The sequence below is a fragment of the Homo sapiens genome, chromosome 8, assembly GCF_000001405.40.
Source record: "Homo sapiens chromosome 8, GRCh38.p14 Primary Assembly".
NCBI classification, from domain to species: Eukaryota; Metazoa; Chordata; class Mammalia; order Primates; family Hominidae; genus Homo; species Homo sapiens.
This window is the reverse complement of record NC_000008.11, coordinates 94680271-94702064: the sequence shown is the minus strand read 5'-3', so window position 1 is coordinate 94702064 and position 21794 is coordinate 94680271. Positions and strand designations below refer to the sequence as shown.

At 40.1% G+C, this 21794-nt stretch overlaps 1 protein-coding gene and 1 pseudogene across 7 annotated transcripts in view, besides 1 other annotated feature; both read right to left on the bottom strand.

The window, feature by feature from the left end:
* Window positions 1-21794, bottom strand: part of ESRP1 (epithelial splicing regulatory protein 1) — a 66293-nt gene that overhangs the window by 5402 nt on the left and 39097 nt on the right. For 2 of the 7 annotated variants that reach the window (NM_017697.4, NM_001034915.3), the window contains exons 14-15: window positions 9238-9388; window positions 5104-5213 (exon numbers count right to left, since the gene is read on the bottom strand). The exons of 2 other annotated variants lie outside the window; for them this stretch is intronic. In NM_017697.4, coding sequence (NP_060167.2) covers window positions 5139-5213; window positions 9238-9388 — 226 coding nt within the window. In that variant the 3' untranslated portion in view covers window positions 5104-5138. Of the gene's footprint in view, window positions 1-5103; window positions 5214-9237; window positions 9389-21794 lie in introns of those variants that run through there. 3 more of the 7 variants (XM_005250991.4, NM_001122826.2, XM_047421916.1) reach the window with 2 other exon arrangements.
* On the bottom strand, window positions 13455-13827 carry RPS15AP26 (ribosomal protein S15a pseudogene 26; annotated as a pseudogene).
* Window positions 20181-20230: an enhancer, noted in NCBI's record as "active region_27634". NCBI's record gives its function as "activates an Ori minimal core promoter by ATAC-STARR-seq in GM12878 lymphoblastoid cells {active_cell/tissue: GM12878}" and the evidence as "EXISTENCE:reporter gene assay evidence [ECO:0000049][PMID:35858748]".

Here is a 21794-nt window from a genome sequence, read left to right as displayed (position 1 = left end):
GCTCTGTCGTCCAGGCTGGAGGGCAGTGGCACGATGACAGCTCACCGCAACCTCGACCTCCTGGGCTGAAGCCATCCTTCCACCTCAGCCTCCCGAGTAACTTGGACTACAGGCATGCATGACGACACCTGGCTATCTTTTAATTTTTTGTAGAGACGAGGTCTCACCACATTGCCCAGGCTATTCTTGAACTTCCAGGCTCAAGCAATCTTCCATGCACAGGCATAAGCTACCATGTACAAGCCAAAATATCATTAATAGATTTAAATTTGGGGGCTGACATTGCCTTTGAGACCTAACAGATACGAAACTTGGAACTTGGCCAGGCACAGTGGCTCATGCCGGTATCCCAGCCCTTTGGAAGGCTGTGGCAGAGAGACAGCTTGAACCCAGAAGTTCAAGACCAGACTGGGGCAACATAGTGAGACCTTGTCTCTATGGGGACAAAAAAAAGAAAAAAAAAAGAAAAAGAAAAAGAAGAAAGCAACTTGGAATGTAACAGTAACTGGAGAAAAACACCCTTTCTGGCGATCTGAGGAAGCATTTCTTCCAGCCCGACACCCAATCTCCTTCCCAGAAAGGCTTGTGGGCATCTTGAATGGTTAAATGAAGCATATCTCCACTGATTCAGTGGGATAGTCAACGTGTGTTGGCTGGGTTGATGGGACAAGGCAAGAGAAGACAGAATAGTGTGACTTCTTTACCAGACCTCGCTGTGGGTGTTAGCTTTCTTTACCTGATCCTATAGCCAGCCATGAGATCAATCGCTCAATTCTTTTTTTTTTTTTTTGAGATGGAGTCTTGCTCTGTCGCCCAGGCTGGAGTGCAGTGGCGTGATCTCAGCTCACTGCAACCTCCACCTCCCAGGTTCAAGCAATTCCCCTGCCTCAGCCTTCTGAGTAGCTGGGATTATAGGCACACACCACCACACCCAGCTAATTTTTTTCTATTTTTAGTAAAGACAGGGTTTCGCCACGTTGGCCAGACTGGTCTCGAACTCCTGACCTCAGATGATCCACCTGCTTCAGCCTACCAAAATGCTGGGATTACCGGCATGAGCAACCGCACCCGGCCCTCTTAACACACACACACACACACACACACACACACATACACACACACACACATTTTTTTTTGAGTCGGAGTCTTGCTCTGTTGCCCAGGCTGGAGTGCAGTGGCGCGATCTCGGCTCACTACAAGCTCTGCCTTCCGGGTTCATGCCATTCTCCTGCCCCAGCCTCCCGAGTAGCTGGGGCTACAGGCGCCCACCACCACACCCAGCTGATTTTTTGTATTTTTAGTAGAGACGGGGTTTCACCGTGTTAGCCAGGACGGTCTCGATCTCCTGACCTCGTGATCCGCCCGCCTCAGCCTCCCAAAGTGCTGGGATTACAGGCGTGAGCCACTACACCCGGCCCTCTTAACATATTTTTAAAAATACTGTTAGTTTCCTGTCACTGCTGTTACCATAAATTGGGTGGCATAAAATAAGAGGTATTCATTCTCTAACAATTCTGGAGGCCAGGAATGAGAAACTGTGTCAGTGCGGCTGTGCATCCTCTGGAGGCTCCAGGGAGCAGTCAGGTCCTTGCCTCTTCCAGCTGCTGGTAGCTGGGAACACTCCTGGGCTGTGTCAACAGCTCTCTCATCTCTGCCTCCCTCGTCACATTGCTGCCTCCTCTTCTGTATGTGTCTCTGTCTGATTTCCCTCTGCCTCTTTCTTACACGAGTGATTGTATCTAGGGACCACCCAGATAATTCATGATCTATTTTCCTCTCAAGAACCTCATTACAGCTTTTTCCATAGAAGGTAATAGTCACAGGTTCCAGGGATCAGGATGTGGACGTATCTCGGTAGCCACCATGCAGTCCACTGGAAGCACTTTGCCATGCTACAGTTTGGTTAACAGAAAAGCGTCCTCAGAGTGAAGGCAGAAGGCCTGGATCTTTTTGTTAGCTTGATCATTAGCTGTATGACTTGTGTAAGTTGCCTAACCTCTCTGGGTTTCATTTCCTCATCTGTCAAATGGGCCCATGATGCCTCTTTGCAGGGTTATGGTGGGTCTCAAATGAAACTGTGGATATAAGTACTTATAAGAACATGAGCCACTCGGTTATGATAATGAATTTGATATTGATAAGGAGGCGGTAAAAAAATATATATAAAACAATGCAAGGTTAAGGGGAAAGAAACAAGGTTCAAAATTGCATGAGGGTATGAGAGGATGAAAGGAAGTATTTATTATGCTTGTTTCTGGGTGGTGAGATTATTAGTGACTTCTTTATACCTGTCTCTCTGTTCCAAATTCTTTGCAATGAGCACCCAATACTTTTATAATCCTATCTCCTAGAGTTGGTAAGATAATTAAATAAGATAAATTATGCCAAGTATTTCACACAGTAATCTATGCTTTTTTTGTTTTGAGACAGGGTCTTGCTCTTTGTCACCCAGGCTGGACTGCAGTGGTACAATCATGGCTCACTGCAACCTTGACCTCCTGGACTCAATTGACCCTCCTACCTCAGCCTCCGGAGTAGCCGGAGGTAAATGCCACCACACCTAGGTAATTTTCTGTATTTTTTTTCGTAGTGACAGGGTTTTGCCATGTTGCCCAGGCTGGTCTCAAATTTCTAGGGCTTAAGTGATCTGCCCACCTGAGTCTCCCCAGGTGCTGTGATTACAGGCATGAGCCACTGCTCTTAGCCAGATCTGTATTTTTAAAAATTTGCAATAGAGAGGCACATTAACCTGACTTTATTATGATGAAAAGATGCAGACATCTGGATTTGAACACAGCGCCCGATCTGTTATTCTGTCATGACTCCAAATATATAAACACAGGGTAGAAAACTAGAGGTGGTGAGTAATGGTTCGTAGTCAGTTTAGGACATTTCTGGTGTAATGTCAAAAGCTTCCATTTCCAGTCATTTCTTATTCAGTATACTTATTTAAAAATATAGACTATGTGTTAATCAAATTCATAAACAACATGGTGTTCAACAATGAACATGTGAAAAGAAAATATGGACCAAAATGGATATCAACAGGCTAGAACAATGTGTTCTCACCACTGAGACAAAGACTAGAGAACACCCATTACCACCGCAAAGCATTCGTACGTGACACTCCTTGGTAGGACCAAGATATACTGAAACCTCACCGAAAATGACAGATCTGAAAAAAATCTTCACTTCCAACTTAGAACTGGGGTTTCCACACTTCAGAGCAAAGGGCTAAGATGCAAATTCTTATTTCTCAATGATGACAAAGTATTGGCAACCTCATTTCCAGTTTAGAATCCACATTATTAAAACCCACAGGGTCCTCAGCCATGAAAATGTTAATAGAATTGGAAAATGACATGCCAGCATGCCAGCTTCAGAAAACTCAACTCAAAAATGATGAAAAACCAGTATCAATTCCCAAATACATCCCTACAACTACATCTCCCAAGAAGCCTCAAAGAATGCCAGTATCCTTTAAGAAAAGATTGTGGATTAATGGGGACTGAGGAGAAAACATTAATCTGGAAGACTATTTTCAAAGAAAATTATCAGGGTTCCTTTTGTCTACATTTAGTTCTAGAAAAGGAAAAAGACACGCAACAAAAACTTTCCAATCATTTTGGATTAAAGCACATTTAAACGTATGCCCAAATCTACTTAAACACATAATGCTAAGTGAAATAAATAAGCCAGTTACCGAAGGACAAATCAGTCTGCTTAGGAAGGACTACCTAGAATAGTCACATTCACAGAGACAAAGTAGAATGGTAGTTACCATAGGCTGGGGAGAAGGAGGAATGGAGAATTCTTGTTTCATGTATACAGAATGTTAGTTTGAGAAAATGAGAAAGTTCTGGAGCTGGACGGCGGTACCTGGCTGCACAATAATGTGAATGTACACTTAATGCTACTGGACACTTTAAAATTGTTAAGTTTTGTTGTGTATATTTTACAACAATCTTTTTAAAAGAGGAAACAGGCTGGGCACGGTGGCTCACGCCTATAATCCCAGCACTTTGGAAGGCTGAGGTGGGCAGATCACAGGGTCAGGAGTTCAAGACCAGCCTGGCCAACATAGTGAAACCCTGTCTCTACTAAAAAATACAAAAAAAAAGCCAGGCATGGTGGCAGGTGCCTGTAATCCCAGCTACTCGGGAGGCTGAGGCAGGAGAATCACCTGAACCCAGGAGCAGAGGTTGCAGTGAGCTGAGATTATGCCATTGCACTCCAGCCCGGGCAACAGTGTAAGACTCTGTCTCAAAAAAAATAAAAATAAAACATAAAAGAAGAAACAGGAAAAAGTATACCCAATCCAAAAGAATCACTACATGACTCAGTGATTATACTCCTGGGTACACACCAAAGATAATTAAAAACAGATATTCAAATAATTATACATGAGTGCTCACATCAGCACCATTCACAATAGCCAGAAAGTGCAAACAATTAAAATGTCCATCAGTGGATAAATAAAATGTCGTATGTCCATGCAATGAAATGTTATTCAGTCATAAAAACAAATGAAGCATTAACACGTGCTACAAGGGTGAACCTAAAAAGACAAACACAGAAAAGGTCACATGTATGATTCCATTTACATGAAATATCCAGAATAGCCAAATCCATAGAGACAGAAAGCAGATTAGTTGCCAGGAGCTATTGGGAGAGAAAACAGGGAGTGACAAAAATGTTTTAGAACTAAACTGAGGTAGTAGTTGCACGATTTTGTGAATATACTAAAAACCACTGAGTTGTAAATGAGTTTAAAATGGTTAATTTTATGTTATGTAATTTTTACCTCAATTAAAAAAAAGAATACCCAACTTGTACTCCACATGAGAGATAGTAAATTAATGTCCAAAGGGAAAAGTTTTCCCTTGCCCCACAGTAACAAACAACTCTCATCCATTAATGTTGCTTAGATTCTATGTACCTAGATGACAAACTTAATTCTAGTCTCCATTCCTTCCAGGATATCTGATATTTTACATTACACTAAAGAAAAGAAGGATTCTCTCAGTTGATTTCTAAATGCCTTCAGAATCTTGATCTCTGTTTGGCCCTTTATAATTTAACTTGCACATCATAAAGCCTTACCTTCTTTTCTGAGGATGTTCTAACTGCTGGGGCCCTTAAATACAAACCCATTCTTTGGGTAGAGTCCTGGCCTGGTCATTTGTGTGTATAAGTCCATCCTCGGTTGCATACTAAAATGCAAGTTAAAACAAACAAGATCAAAAGACGGACAAACTGTCACTATGGATAATATTTCAGCTAAATAGATCTACCAACAAAAGTATAGGACATTTAGATAGGAGGAAACAAACACAGGTACAAGCCATATACATATCTACTAACCCAAATCTTTATTTCTTAACATGTTTAAATACCATAAAAGTCCCTTCTAGGATGGACATTAGATTGAAAACATGGATTACACACACATACAAAACACCATACCACAAGAACTTAGGAGGCCAATTTCTTCAGATCTTGCCTAGTACTGTTTTCATGCTACTGCAAGTATGATTACATATCAAATATTTGAGCACTAGTTATTTGCAAGGGATTGTACAATAAGCCCAATACCCAGTATCTCCAAACAATGCAGTGAATTTTAGATAGTGTTAGATGTATTTGTAATATCAGTCTAATTCTCTCAGCAGGGCAGCAAGTAGTGAGAGGTCCAAAGAAACAATAATCAGTACTTGAAGAGAAACAAAAACTAGCATCTATTGAAAATGTAAAAGGCATTGATGGTAAAGGGTAGTACAAAGAGCAAATGAAAATGTTAAAGGACTTATGTAAGGATACCTGAGAGTCCATTCAGTATGAAAACACATCATCTAAAATATACACACGTTTATGGACCAGAATGACATCCTCATTACCAAGTATTTTCATGGTAGTTTGTAAATCCTTGGTCTTTGTGGCTTTACCTCCACCCCAGATGAAGTATGGAAGACACAAAGAGTAGTTTTTTGTTTGTTTGTTTTGAGACAGAGTCTTGTTCTGTCACCCAGGCTGGAGTGCAATGTCGCATTCGCAGCTCACTGCAACTTCCACCTCCTGGGTTCAAGCACTTCTCCTGCCTCAGCCTCCTGAGTAGCTGGGACTACAGGCATGCACCACCATGCGTGGCTACTTTTTGTATTTTTAGTACAGACAGGGTTTCACCATGTTGGCCAGGCTGGTCTTGAACTCCTGGCCTCAGGTGATCCACCTGCCTCAGCCTCCCAAACTGCTGGGATTACAGGTGTGAACCACTGTGCCTGGCCTAGAGTAGTTTTATGTAAGAAATTTTGTTAAAGGTTGGAGGAAAATACATAAAAAAATTATATTTGATCAGAGACCATCAAATTTCTTCAGCTTCAGAACAGATAGAAAAGAAAAATAGGCTAGCTGCGGTGGCTCATGCCTGTAATCCTAGCACTTTGGGATGCCAACGCAGGCGGGTCACGAGGTCAGGAGTTCGAGACCAGCCTGGCCAGCCTGGCCAGCATGGTAAAACCCCATCTCTACCAAAAAAATACAAAATATTAGCCAGGCTTGGTGGCACACGTGTAATCCCAGCTACTTGAGAGGCTGAGGCAGGAGAATTGCTTGAACCCAGGAGGTGGAGGTTGCAGTGAGCCGAGATTGCGCCACTGCACTCCAGCCTGGGCGACAGAGTGAGACTCCGTCTCAAAAAAAAAAAAAAAAAAAAAAAAGAAAGAAAAAGAAATTTTATTTACTCAACCAATTATTGCCTGGATATTTGCTTAGTTATGTAGTTATTATATAATTATATATAAAATAACTAGAAGTAAAATTAAAACCTCCCATTAAGCCAGCAACAGCCAATACATGCACTCTAGGTAAACACAGATTACACTTAAGTGAACAGTTTTCAAAAAATGTCATCCACTGATTTTATCATCTTGGTTGCCAAATCTAAAGAAGATGGAACCCCATAGTGAATTCAACTGAGAACACGAAACAAGAAGGCATGTACTCTTCAAGACGGTAGAAAATACACGTTTTATGTAAGAATGATACAAACTTGGGTTAGGTATAAAGATTTTTGAGTGCATGCATTATGACTGCCTCAAAGCTCAAATTACTGAAGAAGATATCAGAATAATTTGATACGTTGAATTAGATAACCGAAGTTCCTATGTAATCCTAACTCACTGCTCCAGTTCATAAATTCCAAGCACTTCAGAAATGAAGGCCAAATGCCTTGAGATGAAATAATATTGCACAATCGTTATGTTTCTGGTTATACTAGACAACTCTATTCCAACCTTGAATGGTTCTAAGAAGTTACTACAAAGAAAAACTGCTACAGACTGAAGTTATGTTATCTAAATTTTGAAGAATGTGAATCTTTTAGTCATAAACATAGAAATAATCCCGATTGCATGGTTGTGGTAAAATAAATACCCACAATGCCAGGCATGACACTTTTTTTCTGAAACAGAGTCTCGTTCTGTCACCCAGGCTGGAGTGCAGTGCAGTGATCTTGGCTCACTGTAACCTCAGCCTCCTGGGTTGAAGCGATTCTCCTGCCTCAGCCTCCTGAGTAGCTGCGACTACAGGCGAATGCCACCACGCCTGGCTAGTTTTTGTATTTTTAGTACAGACGGGGTTTCATGTTGGTCAGGCTGGTCTTGAACTCCTGACTTCAAGTGATCCACCCACCTCAGTCTCCCAAAGTGCTGGGATTACAGGCGTGAGCCACCATGCCTGGCCAACACTCTTAATAATAAAGAGCAATTTTGCTTAATCTCATTACTAATTTATATGTAAGGCAACCTAATTCTATTCAGTGTGAATGTAAAAGTTTGTTAGTCAAACAAATGAAAAAGAAATTAATTCAGCTGAGTACTAAAACCTGAAACTTTCTTTGAACTTTCTTCACTTGGAAAACAATGGAAAAAATAAAATACACAAGTCAAAATGTTTTCTCCATAATAAGCAACCTTTTCAATAAGCTTTTAGTAAAATCTTCCTTTTATAATCTAATGAATCAGATAGGAAGTTTAAAAAGTAACTTTTTAACCCCTTTCAAAGTCTTCCAAAGGCAGCAAAATTGCTTAGGGAGGAGTGAGTATCTACTGACCTCCACCTTCCTTCAGCTTTTCACTATCAGCCATAGATTTTGTCAGAAAGTGTCCTTCATATGTTTAAAAGCCCCTGAGAAAATGACAGCCACTTGGTAGGTTTGGGCTGGTAGCATCGCCCCTGAGATAATTTTAGCTGAGATCACAGTCCTCCATGACTCACAGATGCCAAGCTCGTAAACCCATTCTAATCACCAAATAGCCTCTACAGACACAACCCTTGTAATGCTGTACTGAAAATGCTCAAGGGCTATTTTAGAATGTGACTATTATTCCGAAAACAGCTTCTCCACTCCAAAGACTCAAGCAACGTTCAGATCCAGGAGGAAAGAGGACAATTTTTGCTATTAGTACAATAAAAAGACTATAAGTTACTTATTTTTTAGAAATGGCAGGAAAGAAGGAATTTAAGACTTAGGTAATTATGTGACTTGAGGAAAGAAAGCTATCTGCTTAGATGGAATGGCAATGTTCACTGTTAAAGAACTCTTACTAAAAATCATCTCATTCTTTAGCATATGTGAGAAAACAGCTGATGGACACAGACTGGGGTAGAAAAAAACTGCCAAGAGCAAACATTAGTCACGAGAATAAACATGAAAGGCTCGCCCAACACCTGAGAGCTCATTCTAAGGTGTTACCACCTAAAGACTCATGAGTGTCCTAGGAGTTAGGCAATTTTTTTTTTCCAGGTTATCCAGAGGCCTCTGGCCATGTTTAAATACTCACCTTTAAAACCCATGTTTAAGTACTTATTGGTTTAGTCAAGGATTTGACACTTCACTTTGAATAAAACCCCTTAGCCAATCCTATTCTAGATGTAAACACTCATACTGCTGCATGTCCTAAAGAGCTTTCCCAAAGTAGCTCACTTTTCAAAAAATAACCAACAGATTAAGTTGGAAGACTTAAGACAGCATGGAAAAAGCCTTAATTTCTGACAAGGGGATGAGTCTGAAGTTGGTCCCCACAGTGACTCCAGATCTATTTGTTTCCATAAGCAAATCCATTAGCATATATACACACACGAGTTTCATAGAATCTGTTTCTTTCCTGGCTGCATTCTTTAGGCAAATCAACTTAAGTAATAAGGGCACTGAGGATTATTCTCCTTCAAGCTACTGACCTGGTAACCTTGGAAGAAGTTAAGAATTTCCTTAACTCCAGTATTGTAGGCCAGGCCCTGCATTCTGACCACCGTGCCAGGCTGTGGAGGGACACCGCTAAGATTAGCAGCTGTAGGGAAGTAGCCAAGACTATTAGGCGAACCTGGGGGGCTAAAGGGAGAGAAAGCACAGTGAACCAATAGGAATAGACAATGTTGAATACTTACTATAAAAACATTAGTTACTTAAGGAAACAGAATTTCTCAAGGCAACCTTTCTTATACTTCTCAGAGCTGTCTTTCCTAAGACAGGTGAAAACACCACAGCAGTTCTGTCTCACATTTCCACGAAAGCCAAAAGTTGAAAGGCAGTGAGATTAGTGCAGAATTACATACAGGGCTTCCTCACATCCCTGAGATTCTTAAGAGAAGGACAGAAGTAAGCCTCATGTCAACTCCACCGCAAAGCACCACTTCCGAGGCCCAGCTCTCTGATGATTCACCGGCTAGCTACCAAGAACACTAAGGCATGAAGAGGCACGTATACAAAGAACTAAAGGGAACCACAGCCACAGAGACCAGAAGTATCCAAAGTGATTGCACCAAAGAATAGACTGTTCTACCTATATATAGGAGCATGAGGAATAGCACAGCAGTACTACAGCAAATCAAAGTACTAGAGTGCCCATGGGTTATATTTTCCTGCCTTTTAAAAAATGGGGGTGGCGGACGTTGGAAGAGATACATAAAAATTAAATCAATCACCATTAACACAAGGGAGAAAATTGATGAGTGGGTCTTCCGGTATATCTGCAACCATAACCTCCAAGGAACACCAGCCAAGTAAACACCCAACTTTATGTGACAACTTGAGTCATTACCATATTATGCAATTAGTTTCACCCTGTTCCCACCCACTCTGTTTTCTACCTCAATTGGTGGCCATTATTAAAAATTTTTATTACACAATTCATTTTACATAATATATAGTTTAATATAATTAAAACTCATAATTGAAAATATATAGGGAATTTTTTAAAAGTCATCAGCCTAAAGAGTAATATAGACTTGCAACTTTGGATTATTAACCTTTATTCATCTTTCTGAGTTGGTAATTGTCCCATTTCAAGGGTAATTAAACACATAATAGAAGGGACTAAAAGTCTTTGAGATTATCTATCATACATAATCCTAACAGATAGCTTAATAGGAATGGAGTCAGATGTGCCTCCAGTCCCAGACTCTGTCTATAATTAGCACAGCAAGCTTAAATCACTTAATTCCTTCATTTGCTTACTGGGGGGTGATCAGCACTTTCCTAGTTTCACAGAACTGCTCTTCAGCTTCAGTGACTTAACATATCAAATTACTTCATAAACCATAAAAATGCTGTAACATTACTTCATTCTTGCTATTTCCGTCACCATCATATTTCATCATTTTAAAAATAATGGGAGCCTGAACTATTACTTTACATTAAGCTGCCCTCAACCTTCTATGTTGCTAAAGCAGTGGTCTTTAACTAATTTGCAAGTAAGAATCAGCAGGGGAGTTTTTGTGTTTTTTTGTTTGTTTGTTTTTTAAACAACTCTCTATTATGAGATACTACCCCAACAAATTAAAAATTAGAAACTCAAGAGAGCCAAACCCAGACATTGATATAAATATATTTTAAAGGCTACTATGTGATCACAATGTGAGATTTCAAGTCAATTTATGGGCAACTGTGAGACTAGAGAAAGAAGAAATGCTAAACTTTTGGTCTGAGTAGGACATTCGCCACTATTCAGTCATACCTCTTCATTTTTGCAGAGGTGGAAACAGAAACTAAGAGTTAGATAATTTCTCAACAGGTCACATAAGTTACCTCTTGCCAAACTATAAGAATCACCCAAACTCTTGACTTCTGGTTCATTACTTTCCTCCTGTACAACTAGCATTCACTCAAAGATGATGTTTGCTCAGAAAGATAGCAAGTCTAATACTCAAAGACCATCGGGACTTCTGCACATATTTGATTACTTAGACTTTTCCAGACTAGATATAAAAGGTCATTTTCACAGCATACAACTTACTTTCACAGCTTTATCCTGCCATATTCTATTCCACTTGCCTAAAGATCTTCTATAAATTAAGCCTGAGGTCTCTAGTACTCTCAAAATATAATCCAGATAAAACTAGCCAAAGTAAATGTTGCACAACTAGAAATTTAAGCTTATAAATGACAATTATATTCCGCATCTAAGGTACCATCTATTCTGATGAAGCTTAAATACAACACAATTTGGATTCTTATCCTTATTTTTCACAGCTATGATTACCTGCTGTATACAAGGAATCGTAAGAAAAATTTAAAAAGTCATATATCTACCTGACAGGACATGAAAGTAAGAATTTTTCATCAACCTAAATTCTAGGCCGGGTGCAGTGGCTCATACCTGTGATCCCAGCACTTTGGGAGGCCAAAGTGGGGAGATCACTTGAGGCCAGGAGTTCGAGACCAGCCTAGCCAACATGGTGAAATCCCATCTCCACTAAAAATCCAAAAAAAAAAAAAAAAAAAAAAAAAAAATTAGCCAGGCATTGTAGCTCATGCCTGTAATCCTAGCACTTTGGGAGATGAAAGTGGGTGATCACTTTAGGCCAGGAATTTGACACCAGCCTGGCCAACACAGTGAAATCCTGTCTCTAAAAAACAAAAAACAAACAAACAAAAAAACAAAAAAAATTAGGCCGGGCACGGTGGCTCACGCCTGTAATCCCAGCATTTTGGGAGGCCAAGGTAGGTGGATCATGAGGTCAAGAGATCGAGACCATCCTGGCTAACACGGTGAAACCCCATCTCTACTAAAAAATACAAAAAAATTAGCCGAGCATGGTGGTGGGCGCCTGTAGTCCCAGCTACTCAGGAAGCTGAGGCAGGAGAATGGCATGAACCTGGGAGATGGAGCTTGCAGTGAGCTGAGATGGCGCCACTGCACTCCAGCCTGGGCGACAGAGCAAGACTCCATCAAAAAAAAAAAAAAAAAAAAAAAAAGCCAGGCATCATAGCACATGCCTGTGATTCCAGCTGCTTGGGAGGCTGAGGCACGAGAATCACTTGAACCCAGGAGGCAGAGGTTGCAGTGGGCCAAGATCGGCTGCACTCCAGCCTGGGCAACAAAGTGAGGCTCTGTCTCAAAACAAAAAAATCCTAAATTCTAAATCTTAAGGTCTTTTGTGGATTACTGAAATAAGAATCAGCAAAAATAATTTACATTATAAAAATGGCAAGATAAAGACAAATATGAACTTATATGTAGAAAAATAAAAAAGAATTTACTAAAAAACTACTAGATCTAATAAGCCAGTTCAGCAAGGTTACATAAGATCAATACACAAAATAAATCAACTGCATTTCTATACACTACAACAACCAAAAATAAAACAATTCCATTCACTATAGCATCAAAAATAATAGACTTAGAGAAACATTTAAAAGTGCAAGAGTTGCACACTGAAAACTACAAAACATTGTTAAAAGAAAAAAGATCATCTAAATAAATGGAAAGGCAGCCCATGTTCATAAATATGATTTTTTTTTTTTTTTTTTTTTTTTTGGAGACTGAGTCTCGCTATCACCCAGGCTGGAGTGCAGTGGTTCAATCTCAGCTCACTACAACATCTGCCTCCCAGATTCAAGCAATTCTCGTGCCTCAGCCTCCCAAGTACCTGGGATTACAAGCATGTGCCAACACATCTGGCTAATTTTTGTATTTTTAGTAGAGACAGGATTTCACCATGTTGGCCAGGCTGGTCTCAAACTACTGGCTTCAAGTGATCTGCCCACCTCGGCCTCTCAAAGTGTTGGGATTACAGGCGTGAGCCACCATGCCTGGGTAAGAATTAATATTGCTAAAATGGCCATACCACCAAATTGATCTACAGGTGCAATGCAATAGCTATCAAAATTCCAGCTGTCTTTTGTACAGAAATTGACAAAACTGAACCTAAAATGTATATGGAAATAAAAAGGATCCAGAATACTCAACAAAGAAAAAGTAGGATGACTTTTTCTTCACAAATTCAAAACATACTACAAAGCTACAGCAATCATTACAGTACAGTACTAGCATAAGGAGAGGCATATAGACCCACGGAATGTAACTGAGAGAACAGAAATAAACCTTTACACTTATTATCAATTGGTTTTGTTTTTGTCTGTTGAGGCATTTTATTTGCATGTATTATATCCCCAAGAACATGAATCCCAGGGTTTTCCCTCATGTGTGTTTTCATCTTGCTTCTTCATGGTCTGTGATGCCAGCCGAAGTTGTCAGTATAATGAAACCAAACTGATGACGTGGAAGCAGATAATTCTGCCACTTTTCTAGATCTTTGAGTTGCACGTGAAATCTGAGGATGATCACACTTGTTTAACTTGCCTGTGAGGTTCACAACAATTTCCCCAGCTCTGTGATCTCAAATGACTTCAAATTCGCCATTGTAACCATGCTTCATCATCAGTCAGAAACTGGACAATAACACTGGGCACAGCCTTCTAAGAACCTGATGTTTGCCTCTTGTTTTGACATTGTTGATGCTCTTAAGAGCAATGGTCAGGACATTCAATGTGCACCATTTTGATGGCACAAAAACAGCTGGTCATAGATTTTTGATAAGAGTTATTAGAATGCAATTTGATGGGAAAGAGGTGTTTTCAATAAGTGGTGCTGGAACAATGGACTATCAACACGTAAAAGGATGACTTTGTTTTTCTCTAAAGGGATGATTTTAGACCCCTACCTCACACCATACAAAAAATGAACTCAGATCGAATTATACCTAAATCTAAGAGCTAAAACTACAAAACACTTACAAAACATAGTAGTAAATCTTTGTGACCCTGGGTTAGACATCACACCAAAAGTGTAAGGGAAAAAAGAATAAACTAACAATCAAAATTAAAAACTTTTATACTTTAAAGGACACTACCAAGAAAATGAAAAGACAACCTACAGAATTGGAGAAAATATTTGTAAATGATGTCTTATAAGATCTCATATTTAGAATATATGAAAAAAATTTACAAGTGAAAATAATCCAATTTAAAAATGTGCAAAGGATTTGAGTAGACATTTCTCCTAAGATGTGCAAATAGCTAAGAATCACATAAAAAGATTCTCAAAACCAATGCTCATTAAGGAAATGCAAATCAAAATCATAATGAGATAGCAAACCCACACCCAAGAAAATGGGTAAAATTAAAGACAGTAAGAATTGGAAAGCAATTACAGAAATTAGAACCTTTATATATTGTTAGTGGGAATGTCAAATGGTGAAGCCACTTTGGAAAACAGCTTGGTTGGCAGTTTCTTGAAAGCTAAATAGTTACTGTATTATCCAGCAATTCCACTTCTAGATATATACCCTAGAAAACTGAGAACCTATGTCCACACAGAAACATGAATGCATATGTTTCAAGTAGCATTATTCTTAATAGCCAAAAAGTGTAAAAACTCTAAATAGCCATCAACTGATGAATGGATAAACCAAATGTGGTATGGCTCTACAATGGATTATTTCACCATAAAAGGGATGATATATGTCACAATATGAATGAAACTGAAATATTATCTGGAATAGGAAAATCTATAGAAATAGAAAATGGATTGATAGTTGTTTAGGGGTGGGGAGAGGGGTCAGTGAAGAGATAGAGGACAGGCAAATGGGAGTTTCTAACTAATGGGCATAAGGTTTCTTTTTGGAGTGACATAATATTCTAAAATTAGACTGTTACATGATTACCTAAAGATTAGATTGTAAAATTATTCTACAATTGTAAATTTTGGAACTCTGTAAATATACTAAAAATGACCGAACACCTAAAATAGGTAAATTTTATCAAATTATCTCAAAGCTGTAATAAAAATCATGTGTACAGGCTTTATGGCAGTAGTTTAGAGAAATATAAGGATTAAGCATGAAATTTTCTAATTGCACGCCAAATAAGAATAAAAAGTTCTTAAAAAAGAGCTATGCCAATTAGTAACTCATCTGAAGTTATGTTCAATAATGTCACTGTTTTAGATTTTTACCTCCATTATACCTTTACATTTCAGATTCTCAAGTGCCAGTATTTATTAACATATCATATATACATTGTGTCAATAATGTAACTTGTACTCAAAAGATATAAAAGTTCAAAAATTGATAGGACCATAGAGGAACCGAAGGGTTAGGGACAAATGACCAAGTCAATGTAACAGTGTATTCAAAGGTCCTACAGTTTTGGAGACTGTACCACATCAAATAAACTAACAAGGAGACTGTCCTTGAGCTGGATAAGCAACCTTAGGGTAACCTGAACAAAGAGCTGAAGGGATGTGAGAGGAAATGAAGGGAAAGAAATTAATACTAGAGGGGCTGTTCCAAAGGCTTGTATCCAGAAAACTGCTAGAGCATCACAGTTGCAAAGACATTGATTACTTAGGATCACAGCCAAGGCTCCTTCAGTAAGCTGCACCAAGATCATGTTAGGAAATTACTGAATGAAATACATGAGTTAATATATTATAAAGTTGCTGAAGACTTCCTCCACTGCAGCACTTAATATCCTCTGTACATATATAGGTAACGTAGGCCAGCCCTGGTGGCTCATGCCTGTAATCCCAGCACTTTGGGAGGCCGAGGCGGGTGGATCACTGGAGGTCAGGAATTCGAGACCACTCTGGCCAACATGGCAAAACTCTGTTTCTACTAAAAATACAAAAATTAGCCAGGGTAGTGGGTGCCTCAGGAGACGGAGGCAAGAGAATCGCTTGAACCCAGGGGGCAGAGGTTGCAGTGAGCCGAGATTGCACCACTGCACTCCAGCCTGGGTGACAGAGGGAGACTGTGTCTCAAACAAAACAACATATATAGGTATTAAGTTTTTCCAAGCACAATGTAAATAAAAATTCCATTTCCCTGATAAGTTATGATATCCTTTCCTTTAAAATTATGAATTTTACCATTCAATCTTCCTTTGCTTTGACTACCTGCTCCCAGCCCATTGTTTTGTTTTTGTTGGTTTTTTTTTTTGAGACTGTCTCCCTGTCACCCCGGCTGGAGAGCAGTGGCACAATCTGTAACCTCCATCTTTCATATTCATGCCATTCTCATGTCTCAGCCTCCCAAATAGCTGGGATTATAGGCATCTGCCACCATGCCTGGCTAATTTTTTTATTTTTTCAGAATGGAGTTTTGCCACGTTGGCCAGGATGGTCTTGAACTCCTAACCTCAGGTGATTTGCTCTCCTCAGCCTCCCAAAGTGCTGGGATTACAAAGCCACCATGCCCAACCCTATTGTTTTGTTTTCTGAGACAGGGTCTCACTGTCAACCAGACTAGAGTGCAGTGGCACAATCACAGCTCACTGCAGCCTCAAGCTCCCGCACAGCCCACTGGTATGCCAATATCAATTTAATTGGCCAAGATTCTGTTATTGGACTATCCACAAATTTCTCCCTATGCTATATTTTCCAGACCCTGACATATATTGTCTATTTTTATAATATACAGTGTAGCCTAATAAATCATATAAAATTATATGTAAAACAAGATATGAACATACTGGATGCCAAGATGCCCACCACATCAACATACTCATAATATATGCTATATTGATAATAAGACTTATAATACTCTTCCTCCATTTAATAATCACAAAATACAAACATTGGTAATACTAATTAATATTATCAGGTGATTTCTAAAATAAAGGTAGTCAGAAGTATGAGAGTATTGATAACATTCACAATTTGAGGATTTGCCATATATAGATATATATGGCTTTTTTTTTTTTTAAAGACAGGCTTGTGCTGTCTCCCACACCACAATGAGCACGATCACAGCTCATTGCAGCTTCAATCTCCAGGCTCAAGCAATCCTCTAGCCTCAGCCTCCCAGGTAGCTGGGACTACAAATGGGTGCCACCATCCCAACTTAAATTTTTTGCATGCCCAGGATGGTCTCGAACTCCTGGGCTCCAGCGATCCTCCTACCTTGGCCTCTTAAATTTCTGGGATTACAGGCATGAGCCACCATGCCCTGCAGACTTGCTATAATTTCACTAAAAAAGAGAGGCCAAAGTATCATATGTATGGTTAGAGAAATTGATTAAGTGGAAGATTAGAGAATTACAGTCTCCCCTCTGAATGAGTGACTACATATTGTTTCACATTTTTGAGAAACCCTGCAGAAAAATCTAATTATCACTGCTTTGTAAAATGACCACACAGAACCATTTTACCAACATTAACATCCCTAGTGTTACAAATACCACATATTTGGGAGTAACTGGAGACATACTGTTTCAATCCTTGCCAGTGTAAAACCTAAAGTCAGTTTTCATGTAGGGAACCTTTAAACTGACTTTAATTTTCATCTGAAATTAACAAGGTTAACTTTTCGAGATTCTTCATGGATTTAATAACTACAGCAGTCTATGGACTGATGACTACCTCTGGACGCTGGATTTCTGTTAGTGCTCCTAAAAGTCCATACAGGCTTCTCCAGGCCTGCACTTCTACCACTCAGAGAAAGTCTAAGGAACCAAACAAATAAATAGGAAAACACTTTGGCACAAATAAATAAATCTCCCAACAATCTATCTCACCCAAATACCTGGCAAATTTATGTGCTGTCAAAAAAGTTTGGTAACTAAACTTAAATTTACCCCAAGGCGTGCGCAGTGGCTCACACCTGTAATCCCAGCACTTAGGGAGGCCGAGGCTAGTACAGCACCTGATTTTGGGAGTTCGAGATCAGCTTGACCAACATGGACAAACTCCATCTCTACCAAAAATACAAAATTAGCTGGGCATGGTGGTGCATGCCTGTAATCCCAGCTACTCGGGAGGCTGCGGCAGGAGAATCGCTTGAACCTGGGAGGCGGAGGTTGTGGTGAGCTGAGATCGCGCCATTGAAGTTTTTACATTAGCAAAGGGTCATTTCCTCCCTGAAAGCCATTCTGAACTCTCACTGACTAGTAGGAGAGAGTGAGTTGCCCACGGCAGTTGTTCTCCCTTACATCATTTAGAAACCTAATCCAAACTAAAAAACCTGATAATCATAATCATGACCACCCACAAAAATTACCTGACACTTCTCTCATATTATAATATTGCTTCATATTGCATCACTATTACTATTATTTCTAGCATCATTTCATTGGATGCTAAATTCTTGTCTGCATTTGTGATACTAAATATTTAACTTGTAAGAAAACTTTTAAATCAAGAATTCTTTTTTCTTGGTCCTATGAGAACACTTGCAACAACAAGCAAATTAGAAAGTAAACTGATTCCCATATGTTACCATTGGGATAAACTAGGCGAAGTGTACAAGGGATCTCCATGTATTATTTGTTACAACTGCATGTGAATCTCAATACAAATTTCAAGTAAAAAAGTAAACTGGAATAAGAAGAGCAAGTTCAAAATAGGAAATGTAAGCCTCTCTCAGAGGCTTGGTATTCTTCTGGTTCAACTACAAAGAATTCCAGGATAGAACACAGTAACACAACAAACCAAAGATCAATGTGTTTAGTAACACATACATATTACTAAATATACATATTCATAGGCCGGGCGCGGTGGCTTACGCCTGTAATCCCAGCACTTTGGGAGGCCGAGGCGGGCGGATCACTTGAGGTCTGGAGTTGGAGACTAGCCTGACCAACATGGAGAAACACCGTCTCTACTAAAAATACAAAATTAGCTGGGCATGGTGGCACATGCCTGTAAATTCAGCTACTTGGGAGCCTGAGGCAGGAGAATTGCTTGAACCCAGGAGGCGGAGGCTGCAGTGAGCTGAGATTGTGCCACTGCATTCCAGCCTGGGCAACAAGAATGAAACTCCGTCTCAAAAAAAAAAAAAAAAAAAAAAAAAAAAATATATATATATATATATATATATATATAAAATAATGAATATATTGAATAATGAATATATATATGTATATACACACATATATATATTCATTCATTAGGTTATAACAAAAGCTGGTTTTAAAACAAATGGTTACCCCAAGAAAGACAATGGTTATTCCTCACCATAAAGCTTTTATACAAGCATGCGCAGTCTACTTGTGACTACATCACTCATTAAAAAAAGTAAAACTTCCTGTGCTTCCTTTGTTGGCGCAAAATGTTGTTACTTGGCTGGGCATGGTGGCTCACACCTGTAATCCCAGCACATTGGGAGGCTGACGTGGGAAGATTGCTTGAGCTCAGTACTTTGAGACCAGCGTGGGCAACAAAGTGAGACCCCGTCTCCACAAAAAGTCAAAAAATTAGCCAAGTGAGGTGGTGCATGCCTATAGTCTCAGCTACTTGGGAGACTGAGGCGTGAGGATCGCTTGAGCCTGGGAGATCAAGGCTGCAGTGAGCCATGGTAGCGCCACTGCACTCTGCCCTGGGTGATAGAGCCAGACTACATCTCAAAAAACAAAGACAAAAAAGTTGATGTTACTTGTAATTTATAATGTCGTACGAAAAGCAAGAGATGCATAGAAGGTATGTATGTCATTCAGTCTTTGAAGAATCAGCATGTCTCCCACCTATGCAACAGCTTTGATGCAAAGGAGAATATTCTTTTCTGAGAAAAATGAGAGGTCAGAAGAAAAAGTAGGGCTTGATGTAATGAAAGAGAAAAGATGTGAGGTAACTGATTTTGCACTGATAATCAGAGAGGACCCAAATAGAAAGCCCTTCTAAATACTTTTCTGCCCTAGCTAAGGTATGAGTCACTGGAAAACTGAAACCCTCTTCTGAGGTAGAGAAGGGGGTGAAAAGCCCAAAAAGAGAAAACAAAACCACATGAGGCATACATGCTTTCATTTCACCTGCTCTTCCAGATGCTGTTGTGACAGCATCATTTATTTTTATTTTTTGAGACTGAGTCTCGCTCTGTCACCCAGACTGGAGTGCAGTGGCATGATCTTGGCTCACTGCAACCACCGCCTCCCAGGTTCAAGCGATTCTTCTGCCTTGGCCTCCGGAGTAGCTGGAACTATAGGTGCCCACCACCATGCCCTGGCAATTTTGGTATTAGTAGAGGTGGGGTTTCACCATATTGGCCAGGCTGGTCTTGAACCCCTGACCTCGTGATCTGCCTGCCTCGGCCTCCCGAAGTGCTGGGATTACAGGGGTGAGCCACCACACCCAGCCATTTTTATTATTTATTTTTTGAGACGGAGTCTCGCTGTGACGCCCAGGCTGGAGTGCAGTGGCACAATCTTGGCTCACTACAGCCTCCGTCTCCTGGGTTCAAGCAACTCTCTTGCCTTAGCCTCCCTAGTAGCTGGGATTACAGATACTGACCACCACACCCAGCTACTTTTTGTATTTTTTAGTAGATGGAGTTTCACCATGTTGGCCAGGCTGGTCTCAAACTCCTAACCTCAAGTGATTTGCCCATCTCAGCCTCATAAAGTGCTGGGATTACAGGAGTGAGCCACCATGCCAAGCCAGTTTTTTTTTTTTTTTTTTTTTTTTTTTTGAGATGGAGTCTTGCTCTGTCACCCAGGCTGGAGTGCAGTGACATGATCTTGGCTCACTGCAAGCTCCTTCTCCCGGGTTCACGCCATTCTCCTGCCTCAGCCTCCCAAGTAGCTGGGACTATAGGCACCCATCACCACGCCCGGCTAATTTTTTGTATTTTTTAGTAGAGACGGGGTTTCACCATGTTAGCCAGGATGGTCTCTATCTCCTGACCTCGTGATCCGTCCACCTTGGCCTCCCAAAGTGCTGGGATTACAGGCGTGAGCCACAGTTTTTTATTTTTAGTAGAGATAGAGTCTCACTTTGAGACTCAGGCTGGTGTCTAACTACTGGCTTCCAGTGATCCTCCCACCTTTGCCTCCCAAAGCGCTGGGATTACAGGCATAACCCACCACTTATGGCTTTTTTTTAATGGAAGAAATTTAAAAATAAAGAAAAACACAAGAGCTTCTGATTAATAATATCCCTAGAATATGCTGTTTCAGATTTCCCACTTATCAGAGTGGAGGCCAAAACCTACTTGAGCATTTACATAACAAAGTTTTTTAATAGCCTCAAATGCCCAGTAGTTATGCCAGGTTAGAAATTAATGTTTTTCACCGAGCGTGGTGGCTCACACCTGTGATCCCAGCACTTTGGGAGGCTGAGACGGGCAGATCACCTGAGGTCGGGAGTTTGAGACCAGCCTCACCAACATGGAGAAACCCCTTCTCTACTAAAAACATAAAATTAGCCGGGCATGGTGGCACATGCCTGTAATGCCAGCTACTCAGGAGGCTGAAGCAGGAGAATAGCTTGATCCCGGGAGGCGGAGGGTGTGGTGAGACAAGATCACGCCATTGCACTCCAGCCCAGGCAACAAGAGCGAAACTCCGACTCAAAAAAAAAGAAATTAATGTTTTTCTATCAAAATTATAAAACATCTTTGGCATATGCTTTTTAAATCATACCAGATTTGCAGCATAAATAAGAGCATATAATTCCCATGCTTGAATGCTTTCATGTTGTTATGTAGGTAATTTCACTAAAAGTGGGGAAATGTAAAATAAAATA